A 19,403-nucleotide genomic window follows, 5' to 3' on the forward strand; every position below is an offset into this window, starting at 1 on the left:
TCAGTTTTGAAAGATGGAAGAAATTGCTGTAGTTCTGAGTAAATGGCAAGAGGTGTACATTAAAGGTATGGATTCTAGAATACTACAAAATAACAGTTTGGGAGAGATCTCCAACCTCTTATGGTATAGAAAGTGTTAGTTACCCAGTACCTGGTACATAGTAATTTCAGTGACTGCTTAGTACATATTATTAGAGCTACTTCAGTTAAAGCAGACAGAAGTGTGGGGAAGAGGTTAGCACTTGAAATTACCTACTACTATGGCTGGACTCCAGGCAAGAGTAGTAAAATTCTAAAGAGAAAATGAGATAAGCAGATGTATGCAATGAAAATTAAAAGCACATATCTGGAGGACAGTTGGAACTATTCTTCCAGCTTTCTGTTGGAAAAATATTATCCTTTGCTTTCATCACTGGTACTTTCTAACTAGTCTCACTTTTGTCGGTTATTGTTTTATTTTTAACATATTTAGTAATCCAAGTGTAACATAGTTAAAATAATAAAAAGTAAAATAATTGGAGAAAGGATTATATTGGGAGTAAAGGAAATTTGAAGTCTTAAGTCATTTATGTGTCCTTAGGCAAAATAACCTTTTTGAACTTGTGTTTTTAATCTACTAGAATGCAGCAGGAAAAGATTTTACTAGTATTCTGAAGCATAAATAAGGCATATTTGCTGCCATGGTTTTTACTGTTATATTACACAAATACGATTTCTAGATGTCTCTGTGTTCTTGGTTCTTATTTATATTTGAGTAATATAGAATATGTATATATTCCTTATAATAGAAGTGGCCGTGCAGGTATAGATAGAACTTGTTTTACCTATGAGCCTTGCCTTGTATTTATTCACTGTGGCAGAATATATAAAATAATTATTGAAGCACAGAAGATCAAGGGAAAAGTGATAGATTATTTAAGGGATAAGTAGAGCATCTTCATACGCTGTACAGTGGCATGCAGTCTGAGAAAGGTTTAAATAGTCATTGATACGCTCACGTTAGGCATTGTTTTCCCACACAAAATGCCTGTCCTGTGAATATTTCTAGTGAGCTAAGAATTAAGAATTAGAAGATTTTTTTTTTTTACTGCTTTTGGTGTACTACAAGAGTAATACATACACCTTGGGGAAATTTTAAGAATAGAATAATTTTTTAAAAATCCAAAACCCAGGCCAGGCTTGGTGGCTCACGCCTGTAATTACAGCACTTTGAGAGTTCAAGACAGGTGGATTATTTGAGTGCAGGAGTTAAAGACCAGCCTGGGCAACATGGCGAAACTCCATCTCTACAAAAATTAATTAGGCGTGATGGCACCCCAGGGTAGTCCCAGGTACTTTGGAGGCTGAGGTGGGAGGATCGCTTGAACCTGAGAGGAATTTCTTGTTTCTTGAGAGACAGGGTCTTACTCTGTTGGGATTACAGGGACACACCATCATTGCTCACTGCAACCTCAAACTCCTGGGCTGAGCAACCCGCCAGCCTCAGACTCCTGAGTAGCTGGGACTAGAGGCCTCTATCACCTGACCTAACTGATGTTTATTTTTGTAGAGATGGTGTCTCACTGTGTTGCCCAGGCTGGTCTTGAACTCGTTGCCTCCAGCATTCCTCCTGCCTTGGCCTCCCAAAATGTTGGAATTCACTGGCTAGCTACCATACCGGGCTTAAAGATTTTTTCTGATATTTTGATATGTGTGCTGGGATGAACATACTTGTATACGCCTTTGATCAATTGGATTAAATTCCTAGACATAGAATTGTTGGGTCAGAGGGTATGCATATTTTAACTTTCGTGCATTTTGCCACACTCCCCTGAAGAAAAATGACAGATTTCTAGTCAAATCAACTAGGGATGAAAAACACTTGTATTTTAAATGTTTTTTGTTTAAGTCAAGGGCTATTGAGGAAACTGGAAGTTGGTAAATCAGAGAAGCATATAAAATATGGGAAAGAGATTGCGGGGTCATTTATTTCTTTGCTGTTGAAATAGTTGTCATGATATTAATGTTCTAGTCGTACTTAGAGAAATTCAGCAAAAAAGTGCTTCTGATCATGGTTTCTTAGCACCTCCTGTATTAGTATTTAAAACCTCTATCATGTCTTCCTTGGGATTTAAGACGTTTGTGTTTTATGGGTAGTTAAGAACTAAAATAGATAACTGCTTGAGAAACTGACCATCTCCTGCGCATATTCAGTTTAGGAGTGATCTGGAAACCACAAGGATCGTAGACTTGAAAATAACCCCAAGGTGACAAAGCAATCTCTGAGTACCAGTAGCATGTGAACACACCTCAGAAGAGTCAAATATCCTAATATTTTAAGTCTTTCTAGAAGCCAGCTGTTAGTAGAAGTGTTAGAAAAGAAAAAAAGAAAAACTATAGGGAAGACAGTAGTAGAAAAGGGGGACGATAGGTTGTAGAATACAAGCAACTTTTGGAAAGGACGCAGAAAACTTGGTGGTTACATTTTGTACCTTTAGTGAAATAACATTTTCACATTCCTTAACTCAAGTATGTAGAATTCTCTTGATGGACAGATACAGAGCTCATACTTTCATGTAACGCTATTTTTCAGGGTAACTGAGGTGCAGAGCACTGTGTCTGTATCTCATTTTATTCTCACTAATTAAATCTCTGGATGAAAGTGCGTGTATATATAATGTGTTGATATTTAAACAGCTGATCTGACTTACAGGAGTTGAACCTTCAGAACTTTGGTAATTTCTATGAAATACAGAGAAATTCAAGAAAATGGTGACATAGGTGGAAAAATCCTTATCCATTGCTAAATAAGATTATTAAAAGGATTGTTTAGTAAAAAGAAGATAGTGATCAGTAAGAGCTACCAAAATTCTACACAGTATGTTTAACAAAGTAGCTTTCAATCTTTTATCTTTATGGGCAGGATAAATATGAGCCAGGTGATAGTATACACAAGCAAGGAACTGAAATCTAGCCTGTCATCAGGAACTTATAGACAGAATCAAATCCAAGGCACCTTAAAAGCATGCAGTATATAAATCTTCGTGTACCTCTGTAGCTATACATTAGGCATGTCCTCATAGTATCCACCAAGTAAAGATCGTTTTTGTACTTAGAAGACATGGAACACTTCAGAAGAGTTTTCATAAAAAGATCCAACACTTAAACATTAATCTATAGCATTCCCCTTAGAGTTTTGCAGATTGATTGTTGGAAATAGCAATACACACAGTTTTTCCTGCTATGTGAGCTCATCAAAAACAGTGATTTCAGTTTCCTTTCTCTGGCACCTGATGCAAAAGTGCATTGAATGTTTGATTACTGAATTAATAAGTGAGCAGAAAGGTGGTCACAGTACATATGGCAAAGAAGGCAGTTGTTCACCTTCCTGATTCCCATAGGTCTCAGTTAAATAATTTTCTAAAACTGTTTTTAGTGTGGCGATCGGTTACAAAAACAAACCCCCCTACGTATGCTGTGCCCTGTTTCCTACTGGAAAATCACTTTGCATACTATTTTAAGAGTTGGCGGCAATGACAAATTATAGAATCATTTTATATGCAAAATGAAAAACATTTTTTAAGTGTCTGCCGTAGAACCAAATAGTATTTTTTGTACATTTATTGTTTCTGTTAATTATTCAACTAGCAGTAGGACAGATTTACTACAATAATCCAAAAATGCTAATAAACAAGTATATCTAACTTTGTAGTTGTTAAGTCACTTTTCTTTTTTTCTGTCTCAGCCCAGAAGAATCAGTGCGGTTTCTGTGGCAGAGCGAGTTGCATTTGAAAGAGGAGAAGAGCCTGGAAAAAGCTGTGGCTACAGCGTTCGATTTGAGTCTATACTTCCTCGTCCTCATGCCAGTATAATGTTTTGTACTGTAGGTCAGTAATGTATTTTGATTTTTCATTTGGGGTTTATATTGTGGTTGTGAAGAAAACTTGATAGCAGAACAGAATGACTGGAAAGAAATAATGAGCCAGTCTCAGATTTCTTGTTTAAATAAAACTTTTGGCAGTTTTTTCCTTCATGGAAAGTATGATATACCCATTAGATCTTGTAGCTTAGAGAAAATGAAATCATAAAATCAGTGAAAAAAACTATATTTCATAGTACACTATCACTTTTTAATAGTTTAAATGTACATGTGATTATTTTCTAAAATGATGCTGGGGTCTCTTAGTTGAAATATAGATAATTGTCCATAGATTTACTACTTTGAACTTTTCTATAGTTTATTGATTGTTTTTCTTTTCAAGGTGTGCTCCTGAGAAAATTAGAAGCAGGCATTCGAGGAATCAGTCATGTAATTGTAGATGAAATACATGAAAGAGATATTAATGTAAGTAACTTGAGAGGTACAGTAAGGTACTTAATTCTGCTATTTCTAAGAGAAATCAGTAGAATGTCTTTGTTTTCCCTTTCCCCCGTTTTTATCATTATCAAAACCATGAACTTCAGTCACTAAGATGTTGAAAATCTTTTTTTAGTGAGATTATTCAATCTTTTTTTTCTTTATTGTTAAACTTTACAGAAAGCCTTTTGGAGGTGAAGACCTATGTTGTAAAGTATAACTGCAGTAATCAGTATTAGCTGGCATAATTCAGCAATTGAACTAATGGTTTATGACTAAATAGCTGATGGAATTTTTATGATTCGTTTTTCTTTGATTTGGAAGTTTATGATAGATTTTATAATCGTTTTTTGTTTTGTTTTTTTGAGACAGAGTCTTGCTCTGTCACCCAGGCTGGAGTGCAGTGGCGCGATCTCAGCTCACAGCAACCTCCGCCTCCCGCTTTCAAGCAATTCTCCTGCCTCAGCCTCCTGAGTAGCTGGGACTGCAGGTGCCCACCACCATGCCCGACTGATTTTTGTATTTTCAGTAAAGACTGGGTTTCATCATGATGGTCAGGCTGGTGTCGAACTCCTGACCTCAGGTGATCCACCTGCCTTAGCCTCCCAAAATGCTGGGATTACAGGCATGAGCCATTGTGCCCAACCTATAATGTTTATAATTAAGAGTCCTTTTAGATGTTTTCAGCTCTGATCTTTTCAGATGTTAATGAGAATCATGCCAAAAATTAGGAAGAAACTAGAATTTATTTCCAACCCCTCCCTCTTTTGGTCCTTGACAAAAAAACTGTGTAAAATCAACTTGCTATGCAATTAAATGATATGAAATGATATCCAAGCTAAGTAGTATAGTGACTTTCAAAGGTTTCAGTGCATGGGCAGCATGCTTATTTAAACTGTCAACCATAACTCAAAGCATTTCTAGTTTTTATTTTTTTCTTTTTTCTTCTCCCATCCCCCATCCTGAAGTTACCCAGGGGTTACCAGCCATAAGTTCAGTCAATCATTAGCAAACACAAGACATCACTTCAGAGTTTCTAAGTGTTTTAGGAGTTGTATGCCAGGAAAGGGGGTCAAAGACCAAAATATATATTTCATAATATCATAAGTCATAAAATTGAATAGTACTCAGCAACAAAAAGAAAGTACTGATTCATCCATCAGTATGGATAAACTTTAAAACATTATTCTAAAAGAAAGAAGCTAGAGGAGACATACCTACCATATAATTTTATGCATATGAAATTTTAGAAAAAAGCAAATCTGATCTGTGGTGACAAAAATCAGTAGTGTCCAGGGATTGGGAATTTCCAAATTTCAAGCATAACAGTCAAAAAAAAATTTAACTGTTATGCTTGAAATGTGACATTATTTGATGTACTTGCTATTTAATAAAATTTAAAATAAGGTTAATAAAAGAATTTGGATTTTAGATCTCATGATAATCTAACACTTATTTTAATTCCTTTTTTTTTTTTTTGAGGAGTCTTGCCCTTGTTACCTAGGCTAGAGTGCAATGGCGCGATCTCGGCTCACTGCAACTTCTGCCTCCCGGGTTTAAGCCATTCTCCTTGCCTCAGCCTCCCAAGTAGCTGGGATTACAGGTGCCTGCCACCAGTCCTGGCTAATTTTTTGTATTTTTAGTAGAGAGAGGATTTCACCATGTTGGCCAGGCTGGTCTCAAACTCCTAACTTCAGGTGATCCACCTTCCTGGCCTCAAAGCATTTCTTAAAGATTTTCTCCTCTTACTTTTATATCTGTTTTTGTTAAACATCTTCAGTTTTGTCAAAACTAAGCTAAAGCAAATAAGACTGGTTTGGATGGCTTATGATGACTATAAATCATGTAACTTTTCAGTAGGGCAAAATTTTTGCTCTTTTGTCCTTTATAATCTCTTGGAAACTTTATAGGTTTTTCCTAATTAACTTAATTGACAAATGTTTTGATATTATCTTTGCTTGTTAATGTAGCAATGTTCTTAGGGTTTAAATTATTCCAAACACTGGAATAATGTCATGGATTATCGCTGGTATTTTTCTAAAACAGTAAGTTTTGGTCAGCTTAAGCAACTTAAGATGTAAGTCTGGGCCAGGCACAGTGGCTCACGCCTGTAATCCTAGCACTTTGGGAGGCTGAGGTGGATGGGTCTCTTGAGGTCTGTGTACTATTCACAGTGAAACCTTGTCCGGTATTGTTTGGTCCAGTCTTCTCCAGTCCTGACCGGTCTTATCCGGTTCGGCCCAGTCTGGTCCGGTCCTGACCAGTCTTATCTGGTTCAGCCCGGTCTTGTCCAGTCCTGTCTGGTCTAATCTAGTCCGGATAGGTCTTGTCCTATCTGGTTTGGGCCAGTCCTGACCAGTCTTATCCGGTTTGGCCTGGTCTGGTCCTGTCTTATCTGATGCTGACCAGTCTTACCCGGTTTGCTGCGGTTTGGTCTGGTCTTGTCTGGTCCTGACAGGTCTTGTCTGGTTTGGTCCAGTCTTGCCCAGTCCTGACCGGTCTTATCTGGTCCTGACCAGTGTTGTCTAGTTTGGTCTGGTCCAGTTTGGTTTGGTCTTGTCCAGTCCAGTCTTGTCTTGGAGTTTCACTCTTCCGCCCAGGCTAGAGTGAAGTTTCGGCATCTCAGCTCACTGCAACCTCCGCCCCTGAGTTCAGGCGATTCTCCTACGAGTAGCTGGGATTGTAGGCGCCTGCCACCACACCTGGGTAATTTTTGTATTTTTAGTAGAGACAGGGTTTCACCATGTTGGCCGAACTGGTCTCAAACTCCTGACCTCAGGTGATCTGCCTGCCTCAGCCTGCCAAAGTGCTGGGATTTACAGGCATGAGCCACTGTGCCCAGCCTGCAGAAACTTTTCTTGTTCTCTTTCAAGATAAATCTTACCTAGTTCTGTCACCTTACATAGAAAACCCAAGTGCACTTACAGACCAATTACTACAAATAATAGAATTTAACAGTCTGGCTGGATAAAAGGTAATATACCGAAGGCAGTTGCATTTTTTATACTTACACAAATAACTAGAAAAACAAAAAAAGATACCATTGCAGTAGTCAAAGTATTTAGTACCTAAGAATAAACAAAAACATGCAAGATCTCTCCAAGAAAAATAAGTTTTATCACAAAACACTGAAAAAAGACCATGTTTATATGTAGAAGGATTTAATAGCATATCAATTATTTTCAAGTTGGTCCACATTTTGAATGCAATTCTAATTAAAATCCCAGTAAGGTTTTCCATATAACTTGATGAGGTGATTATAAATACTTAAAAAGATAGATTTATGGCCCCAAATAGCCAGTATTTCTAAAGAAGAGCAGAATAGAGAATCTTGGTTTACAGATAACAAGACTTGCTTTGAAGCTAAAATAATCGAGACAGTGAGGTACATGAGTTGACAGATGGGATAAGACAGGGCACAAAAGCACATTGTATGTTATATGTTACATGCAACATTGTTAGGAGACGGTGGCATGTCAGATTAGTGAGAAAGGGAATGAGCAATTAAGTAAATGGAACTGGAAACTAATGGTTATTTCAAAGTAGTTGAAATCGGTTCCCTACCTCATAACTAAGTACAAAAATCAATTCCATATAGATTGAGAACTTTAAACGTGTTGACACATGAAAGAGTTTTTCATACACTGAAGTAGAAAATATAAAAATATAAATAAGCATCGTCTAGACAGTGCTGTCCAAAAGAAATATGTAAGCCACATAGATAATTTAAATTTTTCTAGTAACACATTTAAAAAGGTGAAAAGGTGAAATTAAACATATTTAACCCAGAATATCTAAAATATTTACAACACGCAGTTAATTTTAAGTTACATTTGAGATATTTTGCATTATTTTTCTTATGGTGTGTTCAAAATTTGGTGTGTGTTTTACATACAGAGTACATCTCAATTCAGATTAATGCTACTGTATTGGGCAGCATAGTCTTAGACCTTCTGAAAGGATTGCTGAAAACATGAAATGCACTAACCTTGAAATAAAAGATCAATATATTATTCTATATTAAAATTAAGGTTATTTGTTTAATCAAAAGGTTATTTCCTTACTTTAAGGAAAACCACAAGCTCAAAGATTCCAATATGTTAGTATAGGAATATATAAGCAACTTCTACAAATCAGTAAGATAAGTAAACAACTTAGTAGAAAAATGATCAAAAATACAGGCATTTTATAGAAGAGGAAACATTTGGCTAATAAACATGGAGATACTCAATCTCATTGGGACTAATAGGAAAGTATAGATCTAGATCACAACAAGACACTGCTTTATATCTGTTTATTTAATAAAAAGTGACACTAAAAATGTTGGAGAGTATGTGGATCAGCAGGATCCCTTATCCACTGCTTATGGGGATATATAAATAATGGTACCACTTAGAAAAATAGTTAAGCATTACCTTCCGAAGTTCAGCAGTTACATACCCTATAGCTTGGCAATTCCATACCCATGTTTAACCTACAGAAACTTGGATATGTTTAGCACTCCTGTTTAGACTTGAACAAGAATGCTCATAGTAGCAAATGTTCACATTAGTAAATCTTGAAAAGAAGCCAGATATGTGTAAGAGTAAGTGAATTAACTGATATATTCATACACTGGGACAGTAAACTGTCATCAGAAAGGATGAGTATAGTAATGTGTGGATGAATCTTAGCAATGCTGTTGTATATAAAAAAGGAAATCCCAAGACAACATAAAATATGCATTCCCATAAAGTAAGTAAAATTTAAAAATATAGTCGGCCGAGGCGGGTGGATCACTTGAGGCCAGGAGTTTGAGACCAGCCTGGCCAACATGGCTCGGCTCACTGCAGCCTCTCCTTCCTGGGTTCAAGTGATTATCCTGCCTCAGTCTCCTGAGTACCTGGGATTACAGGCATGTGCCACCACACTGGGCTAATTTTGTATTTTTAGTCGAGACAGGATTTCTCCATGTTGGTCAGGCTGGTCTCGAACTCCCGACCTCAGATTATCTGCCCGCCTTGACCTCCAAAAATACTGGGATTACAGGTGTGAGCCACTGGGCCTGGCCAATAGCACTCATTTCTAATCACAACTATTAGGCTACAACTGTTCTCAAAAATTGTTATTGTTATCTTAAAAATTGATAAAAGATCCATTGTGGTCCTTTATCTTGGCACTTCTGTGAGTCATCTAAGAAACTGAATTTAATTGATGTCTTATGGCTGTATAACTCTTTTAGGCATAGCTTGTTATATAAACTTAATGTAATTTCAAAAATTTTGTGTTTGTTTTTTAATAGACTGACTTCCTTTTGGTAGTACTGCGTGATGTTGTTCAGGCTTATCCTGAAGTTCGCATTGTTCTTATGTCTGCTACTATTGATACCAGCATGTTTTGTGAATATTTCTTCAATTGCCCCATCATTGAAGTTTATGGGAGGACTTACCCAGTTCAAGGTAATATTGTGGGGGTGGTATAGGAACATCTTTTGTGCAATAGGGTTTGTATTTTCTTAATCCTGGAGATTGGAGTTACAATTTAAAGAATACTTAAAATACAGGACAAATTATAGTATCAAATGTATCATAGCATTTTTGAGGAGTTTCTCTTCTGTTATTTTATACAGTAGTGAGTACAGTCTGAGAAGTGAGACCAGGTTTCATTTACTACTTGAGTAGTTTGCATATGCAGTAAGTTTCCAGGCCTTTACTTATAAAGCCAAACTTTTAAAAATTATAAAGTATAGTCAAAGGGAAATCACTGTGGTGTATAGGTAATTATGGGAATTACTGTTAAAAGTTTAAGCAGCCAGGATCAAATTAAGAATCCTTTTTAGAGCCTGAGCAACTAGATTTTGAATTAAGATTAAAGGAAGTGTATCAAGGTTATGTATTTCTGATAAGTGAGAGTTCTTTAGTATCTTTTTGTTTTTCTAAGACAAGGTCTCACTCTGTCACCCAGACTGGAGTGTAGTGGTGCACTCACTTGGCTCACTGCAACCTCTGGCTCCCAGGCTCAACCAGTCCTCCCATCTCAGCTTCCTGAGTACCTGGGACTACAGGCGCACAACACCACGCCTGGCTAATTTTTGTATATTTTGTAGAGACAAGGTCTCACCCTGTTGCCCAAGCTGCTCTCAAACTCATGGACTCAAGCAGTCAGCCTGCCTCAGCCTCCCAAAGTGCTGGGATTACAGTCTAGAGCCACTGCGCCCAGCCTTCTTTACTGTCTTTAGGAGTTGTTACCACAGTTTTCTAGGATAGTCATCTGGTAGCTGTGGGGGAAAAAAAAGAATTATGGTACATTCTAATTGAGGGCATGAAAATAAGAGAGAAACAGTGTAGACAGATACGAAGTGATGTTATGGCTATGCCAGCATGCTAAGCCAGTATAATTCACTGGGGTACAGGTTAATTCTGAAACTGCTGTACATGTGTACTGGAAATGCCATACAAGTAAATGGATGGCAAGTGGTGGGAGCTCAGTTTCTTACTACTAGGAAGAGAAGTTAAGGATAAGTGGGATTGCTAGAACAAACCGTATGTTACTGGATTATACTCAAAGAGATCAGTACGAACGTGTGTTTAGCTAAATGGAGGTACAAATGGATAGGTATAGAAATAATTATAGATAGGTGTGGATACATGTGTTAGTATACATATTTTTTTCTAGCTCTGTGCTGAGTGGGAGTAGAAGCAGTGACACCCAGTAGATAGGGATATGCCCCACATTCAGATTTTGTTTTTAATGCCATTCTCCAACTAAAGGAGCCAGATATTCCTGGAGAAATGGCTGCTTCTAGGATGAAACAATATACAAAAATGAGCCTGGAACATCTTGTCCCTTAAAGTAAGGAGGTGCCTAAAAGAAGCCCATAACGATGGGGATAAAGGGACACAGGAGCCAACCTGAAAGAGTTCCCAATGGCCAAAGCTGGAACAGTTTGAGGAAAAAAAATAACATGGTATTAGATTACCAAAATACAAAATATTTGTGTGTCTATACTGATATGTAAATAAGTGGTTTAATAAAAAGAATAGTGACAAGTGCCTCTTACAAAAGAATTTCAAATAATTTATGTAAATGGTCTCCCCATTTTTCAAACAAGTGGGCCTACACTACCTAACCCCTGAGTGGGCTGTGTTTAATAACTTCTGAAGACTACAGTGTGGGAAGAAGGGAAAATGAGTAACTTTACAGTGGAGAAATTTGGCAGGCACTACCACAGGTGATCAAGTTTTAACATCATGAGGAGTAAGTCATATTGATAGGATATGCCCTTAATATGATGTGATGAGACTGGCACTTTGGGAGTTTTTGGATATAGAGGGTGTTTTGATTATAAAGACATTCTGGGGCCATCTGAGAATCTTGGGCATAATTGATCAACAGATCTTCCAGTCCTTGCATTGAGATCCTTCTTCAGATTGACCAGAAGCCATTTTGTGTGTGCATACTGATAGAGGAAGGATGGACTGTGGTATATTGTATTGAAGTTACTTCTTTCCATGTATAACTCCCACACAATGGAAGTGTATAGATAAATGTTTGATTGAATGTTATACACAGAGGATACCCCAACTGGCTCTGGGAACATGTATAAAAGACACCTCACCCTCCTTCAAGGTCTAAGAGAGGGAAACACTGAGTTTGATTAGGAAAATAAGGTTATTGCTACTGGAACTTTTTGGCATTTGTGAAGAATCAGACTAGAGGGGTATTAAAGTAGTTTTGAACTATGAATTAGCAAATGAATTTAGGTCTGCTCCATTGTGAAAGTTGATAGTACTTAACCTGACTGGATTGTCCCTGGCAGAATATTTTCTGGAAGACTGCATTCAGATGACCCACTTTGTTCCTCCACCAAAAGACAAAAAGAAGAAGGATAAGGATGATGATGGTGGTGAGGATGATGATGTAAGTGAATTTCATGAAGAATTTCCATTATGGGCAAATTGTCAATGCAGAGAAAAAAATGAGTTAATGTAACATGCAATGTATTAGCATTACAGCAAACTTTCTTAAAAACTGACTGTAATGTCTGCCTTTGGATTAATTGATGTATTTTACTGCAAAAAAATTCCAGGTTCAGTGACAAGCTGTTTTCTATCACAAGTTAAATTATCTCTGGCGTAAAGATCAAAGGAAAAAGAAGAAAGAATGCGATGTTTAAAGGCCAGGCATGGTTAGGGACAATGCTGTTGTATAAGGTTTTGCTACTCAAAGTTTTTCAGTAGGCTGCAGCATCTGGGAAACTGGTAGAAAGACAGAATGCTGTGCCCCACCCTAGATCTACTGAGTCAGAATCTACAGTTTAACAAGATCCTCAGGTGATCTGTATATACAATAAAGTTTAAGAAACAGCAGCTATAGCTTTAGCTACAGGAGACCGGTGATGACATTATCAGGTGGACAGAGTATTAAATCAGGGAGCAATGAGGGATTTCCTAGGAGAAACAGGAAAGAAAAGACTTTGTAGTGCTTGAGAGTTGGACGACGATAGTATAGAAATGGATTATCTGGAAATACAGACTGAGACAGCCAGCAATGCAGAATTTGCTAGAAAACCTAAGATTATATCTTTTTAATCAAAAGATCTGAAGATGTAAATGAACAGCAGATTAGAAAATTTAGAAAAAGACCAATTGCAACAACTGTTTCTCAACTTGCTTTATCATTGATTCAAATGTAAACTTTTTGGAAAATACATTATTTCAATAATACAAAGAAATATACTCAGAAGGCTCCATGAGAGTTTTGAGTCAAATTTAAGTTTGTGTTTGAATTTTAGTCCTATCCTGTGAGAAATACTAATTAGTGGAAAAGTTCAGTATATTGATGTAAGCTCTACATTTTTGGAAATTAAATTTCTTCTGTATTCTATAGTGTGTGACTAGTCAACTAGAATAAATAATGACATTACAAGTAATTAGAGTCACTAGAAGAAATCTAGAAGACTTACCTCATGAGTAACTGAGACAATCCAAAAATATGTCTCCCTGTTTTTTACAGGCAAATTGCAACTTGATCTGTGGTGATGAATATGGTCCAGAAACAAGGTTGAGCATGTCTCAATTGAACGAAAAGGAAACTCCTTTTGAACTCATCGAGGCTCTACTTAAGTACATTGAAACCCTTAATGTTCCTGGAGCTGTGTTGGTTTTTTTGCCTGGCTGGAATCTGATTTATACTATGCAGAAGCATTTGGAAATGAATCCACATTTTGGTATGAGTCTTTGAATTCTCACATATTTGAGAGTGAAAATGAATGTTTTTGCTAGTGCCTTAGCCAGTATGTGAAAACAAAATTTTGTATTGTTTCTACTTTCGAATAAAAATATGTATAATGGAGAGCTGTTTGAAACCAGCTCCTGTTTTTAGTCCCTGATTGTTCTTTATTGTTATATAGGAAGCCATCGGTATCAGATTCTACCCCTGCATTCTCAGATTCCTCGAGAGGAACAGCGCAAAGTGTTTGATCCAGTACCAGTTGGAGTAACCAAGGTAAATATTAAACATTAGAGTGATGGGATTGGAAGTGACGTAGATACTAAACAAATGTTACAGGCTTTCAAAGAGCTACCCAAAAAATTGTAACCCATCTAAATTGAGGAAGAAAAAAGGAGTCTTCTCTTTCTGAGCTTAGTAGATTGTTGTTCATTAATCAGTTATTGGGTGATCTTTTTAGGACTTCTGTAATTTTCTTGTCATTTGTTACATACATAAGCAAATCAGTCCTTTTAAGTAACTAATAAGAATATTTTCTGGAGTGTAATTTTTCTTTCTTCACAGGTTATTTTGTCCACAAATATTGCTGAAACAAGCATTACCATAAACGATGTTGTTTATGTCATTGACTCCTGCAAGTAAGTTACTGGGAAACCTATTTGTCTGCTCCAGTGTTACTAACTGGAAACTTCTTACCAGTTAACAGAATCAAAAACACCTTATTTTTAAACTCCTGTGTTCTTAAATCTCCAAAATTATTGTGCATCTATATAGCATTATAGGTAATTGATAATTAAGAGTAATTATTGTTGATTACTGCAAATCAGTTACGGTAGAAAGTGACAAAGCTTGAAACTGTAACTGATGATTACTTCTCATTGCTCTTGGCTGCTGGTGTCTCACTTATTTCCCATTGGGTGTTTCCATTGATCACTGCCATACTATAGCATGCTGTTTGATGAATAAAGATGACCAGTGTTTAGCACATGACAAATATCCTACCTTGAAGGACACTCCTTTAAGGATTAAGGGTCTTCATTTTGGTATGAGATGAGCCTGGAAAAATATACCAGGAGACATTCTGTGTAGATACAGGAATTACATGGTAATTGATAAATTGAAAGGACAAAAAAGTTGAAACTTGGTTATATCTGGCCAACTTGTACCCCATGACTTCTCTTTATAATTCCTTAGTCTGTCCTGACAATGAAAACAATTTGCTGCCAACATCCATTTTAGGAAATGATGAATAGCATTCTGTGCCAATCCCAGTCATTTAGTGGCAGCTGTCTCTGTATGTAACATTGAAGGAATCTGAGGTTACTTGGGGGTTCAAATGGACCACACAGGCATCACTAGATACAGATATCCTAAAAGTTACACTAAACTTTGGAATAGAGATGACTTAAATAATTACTTTCTTTTGTGTATGTGCCATATTCCATTTAAATGCTTTGCATTTGTTAATTTATTTAATGTTTACCAAAAAAACTATAAGGTAGATAATGGCATGCAAAGTTTGGCCAAGGCAGTTCAGCTGATAAGTGGCAAGTGGATGTTACATTGCCTTTTAGTAGGTTGACAACTAGGAGTTTGCAGTCAGATTGCTGATTCTTACTTGTGCCATTCATGAATAGACATCACAAGTAGGTATGGCTTTAACTACATAGTGGAAAGCATTCACTACTTAGTGGATATATAATAGTTATTGATAATACACATGAGTCTTAGAATTAACCACTTTTTCCTATGTAGGCAGAAAGTGAAACTCTTCACTGCTCACAACAATATGACCAACTATGCTACCGTATGGGCATCAAAAACAAACCTTGAGCAACGGAAAGGGCGAGCTGGCCGAGTACGGCCTGGATTCTGCTTTCACCTGTGCAGCCGAGCTCGTTTTGAGAGGTAAGACCCATTCTTGACCTTTAGTAAGGGATTTTTGTTCTGTTCTCTGTAGGGACAGATGTGTGCAGTTATGTAAACCTGCCAATATAAGCTGATCTAAGTCTTGCCAGCCATGTTGGAATCAGGTGTAAATGTTTCGTAAGAATCTTCATCACAAATCATTTAGAGAATAAGCCAGATTTAGAAATATAGAGACCTAGATTTTAATATTATTTGTGCCTAATACATTGTATAACACTAAGTGGTTACTCCTTAGGCCTGCATTTCCCTCATTCTATAAAATATTAAGTTACTTAACCTCTCTTGTTTCCTCAGTTGTAAAAAGAATATAAATAATGCCTAACCCATAGGGTTGGTATAAGTATTAAATGATTTAATAATGTAAAATACTTTGAACAGTGTATGGCACATCATGATCTCCCAATAAGTGTTTGCTGTTGTTAATTTATACAGGTCAGATATCTCTTTTAAAACTGAAATGCTTGGGACCAGAAGTGGTTTTGGATTTTTTTTCTTGGTAATATTTGCATTGTATTTACCAGTCGGGCATCCCTAATCTGAAAATATGAAATCCAAAACGCTCTAATGAGCATTTCCTTTAAGTGTCATGTCAGAAGTCAAAAAGTTTTGGATTTTAAAGATACATCTATAAGAGCCTTTCTAGTGGCACTAAAATTACATGAACTAGGAAGGTGGGAGGTTGTAGAGAAATGTTAGTATGAGTTATCATCCTACAAAAAGTCTTGTTGTCGTTTTTAACCCATGTTTGTCAACAGGCAAGGCCTGAAGAGACCATGGGTGGAGCTAATAACATTCGCGATTTTGGATAATTTTTTCATTTTTCTTCTCAGCCTAAAAGGCTATCAAGCTGTGAGGATAAGTCAGAAACCACTATGCAACCAGATTAAATTTTGTCAACAGTGTGTATAGTGAACGATAAAAGGTCCGATGGTAATTGTAAAATAAAAGGATGAGGAAAAGGCAGCTCTGTATCCCTGATTACCTTGCTGCAAAAAGTTTATTAACATCTGTGTATACACAAGGAGGATGGTTATTTTATGCTTATTTTCTCTTAGACTTGAAACCCACATGACACCAGAGATGTTCCGAACACCATTGCATGAAATTGCTCTTAGCATAAAACTTCTGCGTCTAGGAGGAATTGGCCAATTTCTGGCCAAAGCAATTGAACCTCCCCCTTTGGATGCTGTGATTGAAGCAGAACACACTCTTAGAGGTACTTACAAATACAAACCTACTTGACGCAGATATTAATCATACCATCTGTCTTGTTCTGGCAGATAACACTTACAAATGAATCAAGATGATGAAGATGTAGTCAACAGGGCTGTGATAATAATAGTAAGGCCTCCAGTCTTACCTTAGATAGTTAGTATAGTCACTGTTCTAATGAGCAATGAGAAGGAAGAAAGGGACAATGTGAGTCTTTAAAAAAGAAAAGAAAACTTAAAAAGGCATCTCTTAACTATGTACTAAAGATCAGAACATAACTTACTCATGATACCCACAGTATTTCATATGAATCTCTTACAACTTTTTTTGTTTTTTTGAGACGGAATCTCGCTCCATTGCCCAGGCTGGAGTGCAGTGGCGTGATCTCAGCTCACTGCAACCCCCACCTCCCAGGTTCAAGCCATTCTTCTGCCTCAGCCTCCCGAGTAGCTGAGACTACAGGCATACACCACCACACCCGGCTAATTTTTATATTTTACTAAGACAGGGTTTCACCATGTTGGCCAGGCTCTTCTGAAACTCCCGACCTCAAGTGATCCACTCACCTCAGCCTCCCAAAGTGCTGGGATTACAGGCAGGAGCCACTGTGTCCAGCCTGGAACATTTATTTTTTCTTGCTAAACTTGTTAGAGGTACAGTGAAAATTAAGGGCATTGGAGCTAGATCTGAATTTGAATTTTGAATCTAGCATTTATCTACTATGTAACTTCAGAATTTTCTCTAGATTTTATTTTTTTTAAAACATTAACAGCTGGGTATCAGACTTCTTATGGCATGTAGAAACTTACGCTGCTATTATAGTTAATACTGTATTTATAGACTTCATATGAATTGTATTTGTTTTTATAACCTACAGGATTTAGTTGTAGTACCTTTATGTTGGGTGCTCCAGATTTTGATTTTGTTCTATTTTTGAGTACAGAGAATTGTTGGCCGTAGACATGGTATTAGCGATTGGCTTGACAAAAGAGGAACTCTAAACTGTCTTAACCTTAATTTAGAGTAATGTTTTGTCTGCCTAAAATTAGTGTTCATTTGTTTCTGCTCACAAAGAACTATCTCCCCACAGAGCTTGATGCATTAGATGCCAATGATGAGTTGACTCCTTTGGGACGAATCCTGGCTAAACTCCCCATTGAGCCTCGTTTTGGCAAAATGATGATAATGGGGTGTATTTTCTAGTAAGTGCTTTGTTTTATTTCTCTTCGTTAAGTGGCAGAATAATTTCAGAATCTTCTCCTCCCTGTAAAAGCAGTATTGGCTCAGATAGACAAAAAAAAAATCCTAAATGTTCTTCAGGGAAGTAACATACCTAGATATTGAGAGCAGTGTAACACTAAAAAAATGAACAGTTCCAGTAGGTGGATATCTGGGCCCAATATGGGGAAAAGGGCACTGATTTCTCAAAAGTTAAAAGCAAGCAGGCCAGGCAATGTGGCTCACACCTTGAATCCTAGCACTTTGGGAGGCCAGGGTGGGAGGGTCCCTTGTTATTAATAGTTGGTCTTGAAAGAGCGGTGTCAGGAAAAGAGGTTTATTTTATCAGAAAATGTTGAAGATTAAGAGATTTGGTATGATGGGGAAGAGAGAATATAAAAGGAAAAATATACTTGGTCATAATTTATGATAAATATGTGGCCATTAGAGCATCAGAGCATTTTTTTCTTTCTGATTCTGAAGAGAGCAGCTATAAAGTTCTTTGTTAAGCCAGTTTCATTGCAAATAAAAGTAGAATCATAGCCATAAAGACTGCAACCCACAGTCGACAGTCCTACCTGAGCTGCTGGCAACAACATTGTGATCTAGTCTGGATTTAACTGTCTTTGTGTATTTCAGCGTGGGAGATGCTATCTGTACCATTGCTGCTGCTACCTGCTTTCCAGAGCCTTTCATCAATGAAGGAAAGCGGCTGGGCTATATCCATCGAAATTTTGCTGGAAACAGATTTTCTGATCACGTAGCCCTTTTATCAGTATTCCAAGCCTGGGATGATGCTAGGTATGAGTAAGATTTGGGTGAGCTGTCTGTAGTTTCTCATTTGTATTTAGTTCTCTGGTCTTAGAGAATGATTTCTCATGCCAATTTATTTTAGAATGGGTGGAGAAGAAGCAGAGATACGTTTTTGTGAGCACAAAAGACTTAATATGGCTACACTAAGAATGACTTGGGAAGCCAAAGTTCAGCTCAAAGAGATTTTGATTAATTCTGGGTTTCCAGAAGGTAAGACTTCTTCCATTCTTAAGATATCTTTAAAGTGACATTTATATAGTACATGCAAATTGACAGCAAAGTGTATTTTAGTTTCAAATTTTAGACCCTATGATTTTTATATATTCCCGACTATTTCTTAGTTCTCGTGAACACTGGTCTAGTTCCCAGAATGAGTACTTTGCTGATAACCTTATAGTGGTTTGCAAAGTAATTTATTAGCATTTAGACTTGAAGTAAATTCTACCACATTAAATTTTAAATGACTTTAATTTATACTTTCGGTGTACAGATGATTAAAGGACTTTATGACATCTAACATAGAAAAAAACCAACCCATGTTTCTTGATGAGCTGTAGTACTTTTCTTTTCCAACTAGGTTAAAATATAGAATTACTTCCTAAAACATTGAGAACTGGAATGCATAACCAGAAATAAGACTGTTGAGAGACAGAAGGTAGTTGGGCAAGATGGTAAATTTTTAAAGG

General features: G+C 36.9%; 1 protein-coding gene across 2 annotated transcripts in view; it reads left to right on the forward strand.

Annotated features, from left to right (window-relative positions):
- Nucleotides 1-19,403, forward strand: part of DHX9 (DExH-box helicase 9) — a 48,636-nt gene that overhangs the window by 23,374 nt on the left and 5,859 nt on the right. For both annotated transcript variants that reach the window (NR_033302.2, NM_001357.5), the window contains 12 exons: nt 3,724-3,865; nt 4,241-4,323; nt 9,617-9,773; nt 12,134-12,234; nt 13,330-13,543; nt 13,727-13,821; nt 14,110-14,183; nt 15,301-15,453; nt 16,530-16,690; nt 17,777-17,888; nt 18,544-18,705; nt 18,800-18,927. Coding sequence is in view for 1 of the 2 variants with exons in the window: in NM_001357.5 (NP_001348.2) it covers nt 3,724-3,865; nt 4,241-4,323; nt 9,617-9,773; nt 12,134-12,234; nt 13,330-13,543; nt 13,727-13,821; nt 14,110-14,183; nt 15,301-15,453; nt 16,530-16,690; nt 17,777-17,888; nt 18,544-18,705; nt 18,800-18,927 (1,582 nt within the window). In the remaining variant the exon portion in view is untranslated. The remainder of the gene's footprint in view (nt 1-3,723; nt 3,866-4,240; nt 4,324-9,616; nt 9,774-12,133; nt 12,235-13,329; nt 13,544-13,726; nt 13,822-14,109; nt 14,184-15,300; nt 15,454-16,529; nt 16,691-17,776; nt 17,889-18,543; nt 18,706-18,799; nt 18,928-19,403) is intronic.

The sequence above is a fragment of the Homo sapiens genome, chromosome 1 (genome assembly GCF_000001405.40).
Source record: "Homo sapiens chromosome 1, GRCh38.p14 Primary Assembly".
NCBI classification, from domain to species: domain Eukaryota; kingdom Metazoa; phylum Chordata; class Mammalia; order Primates; family Hominidae; genus Homo; species Homo sapiens.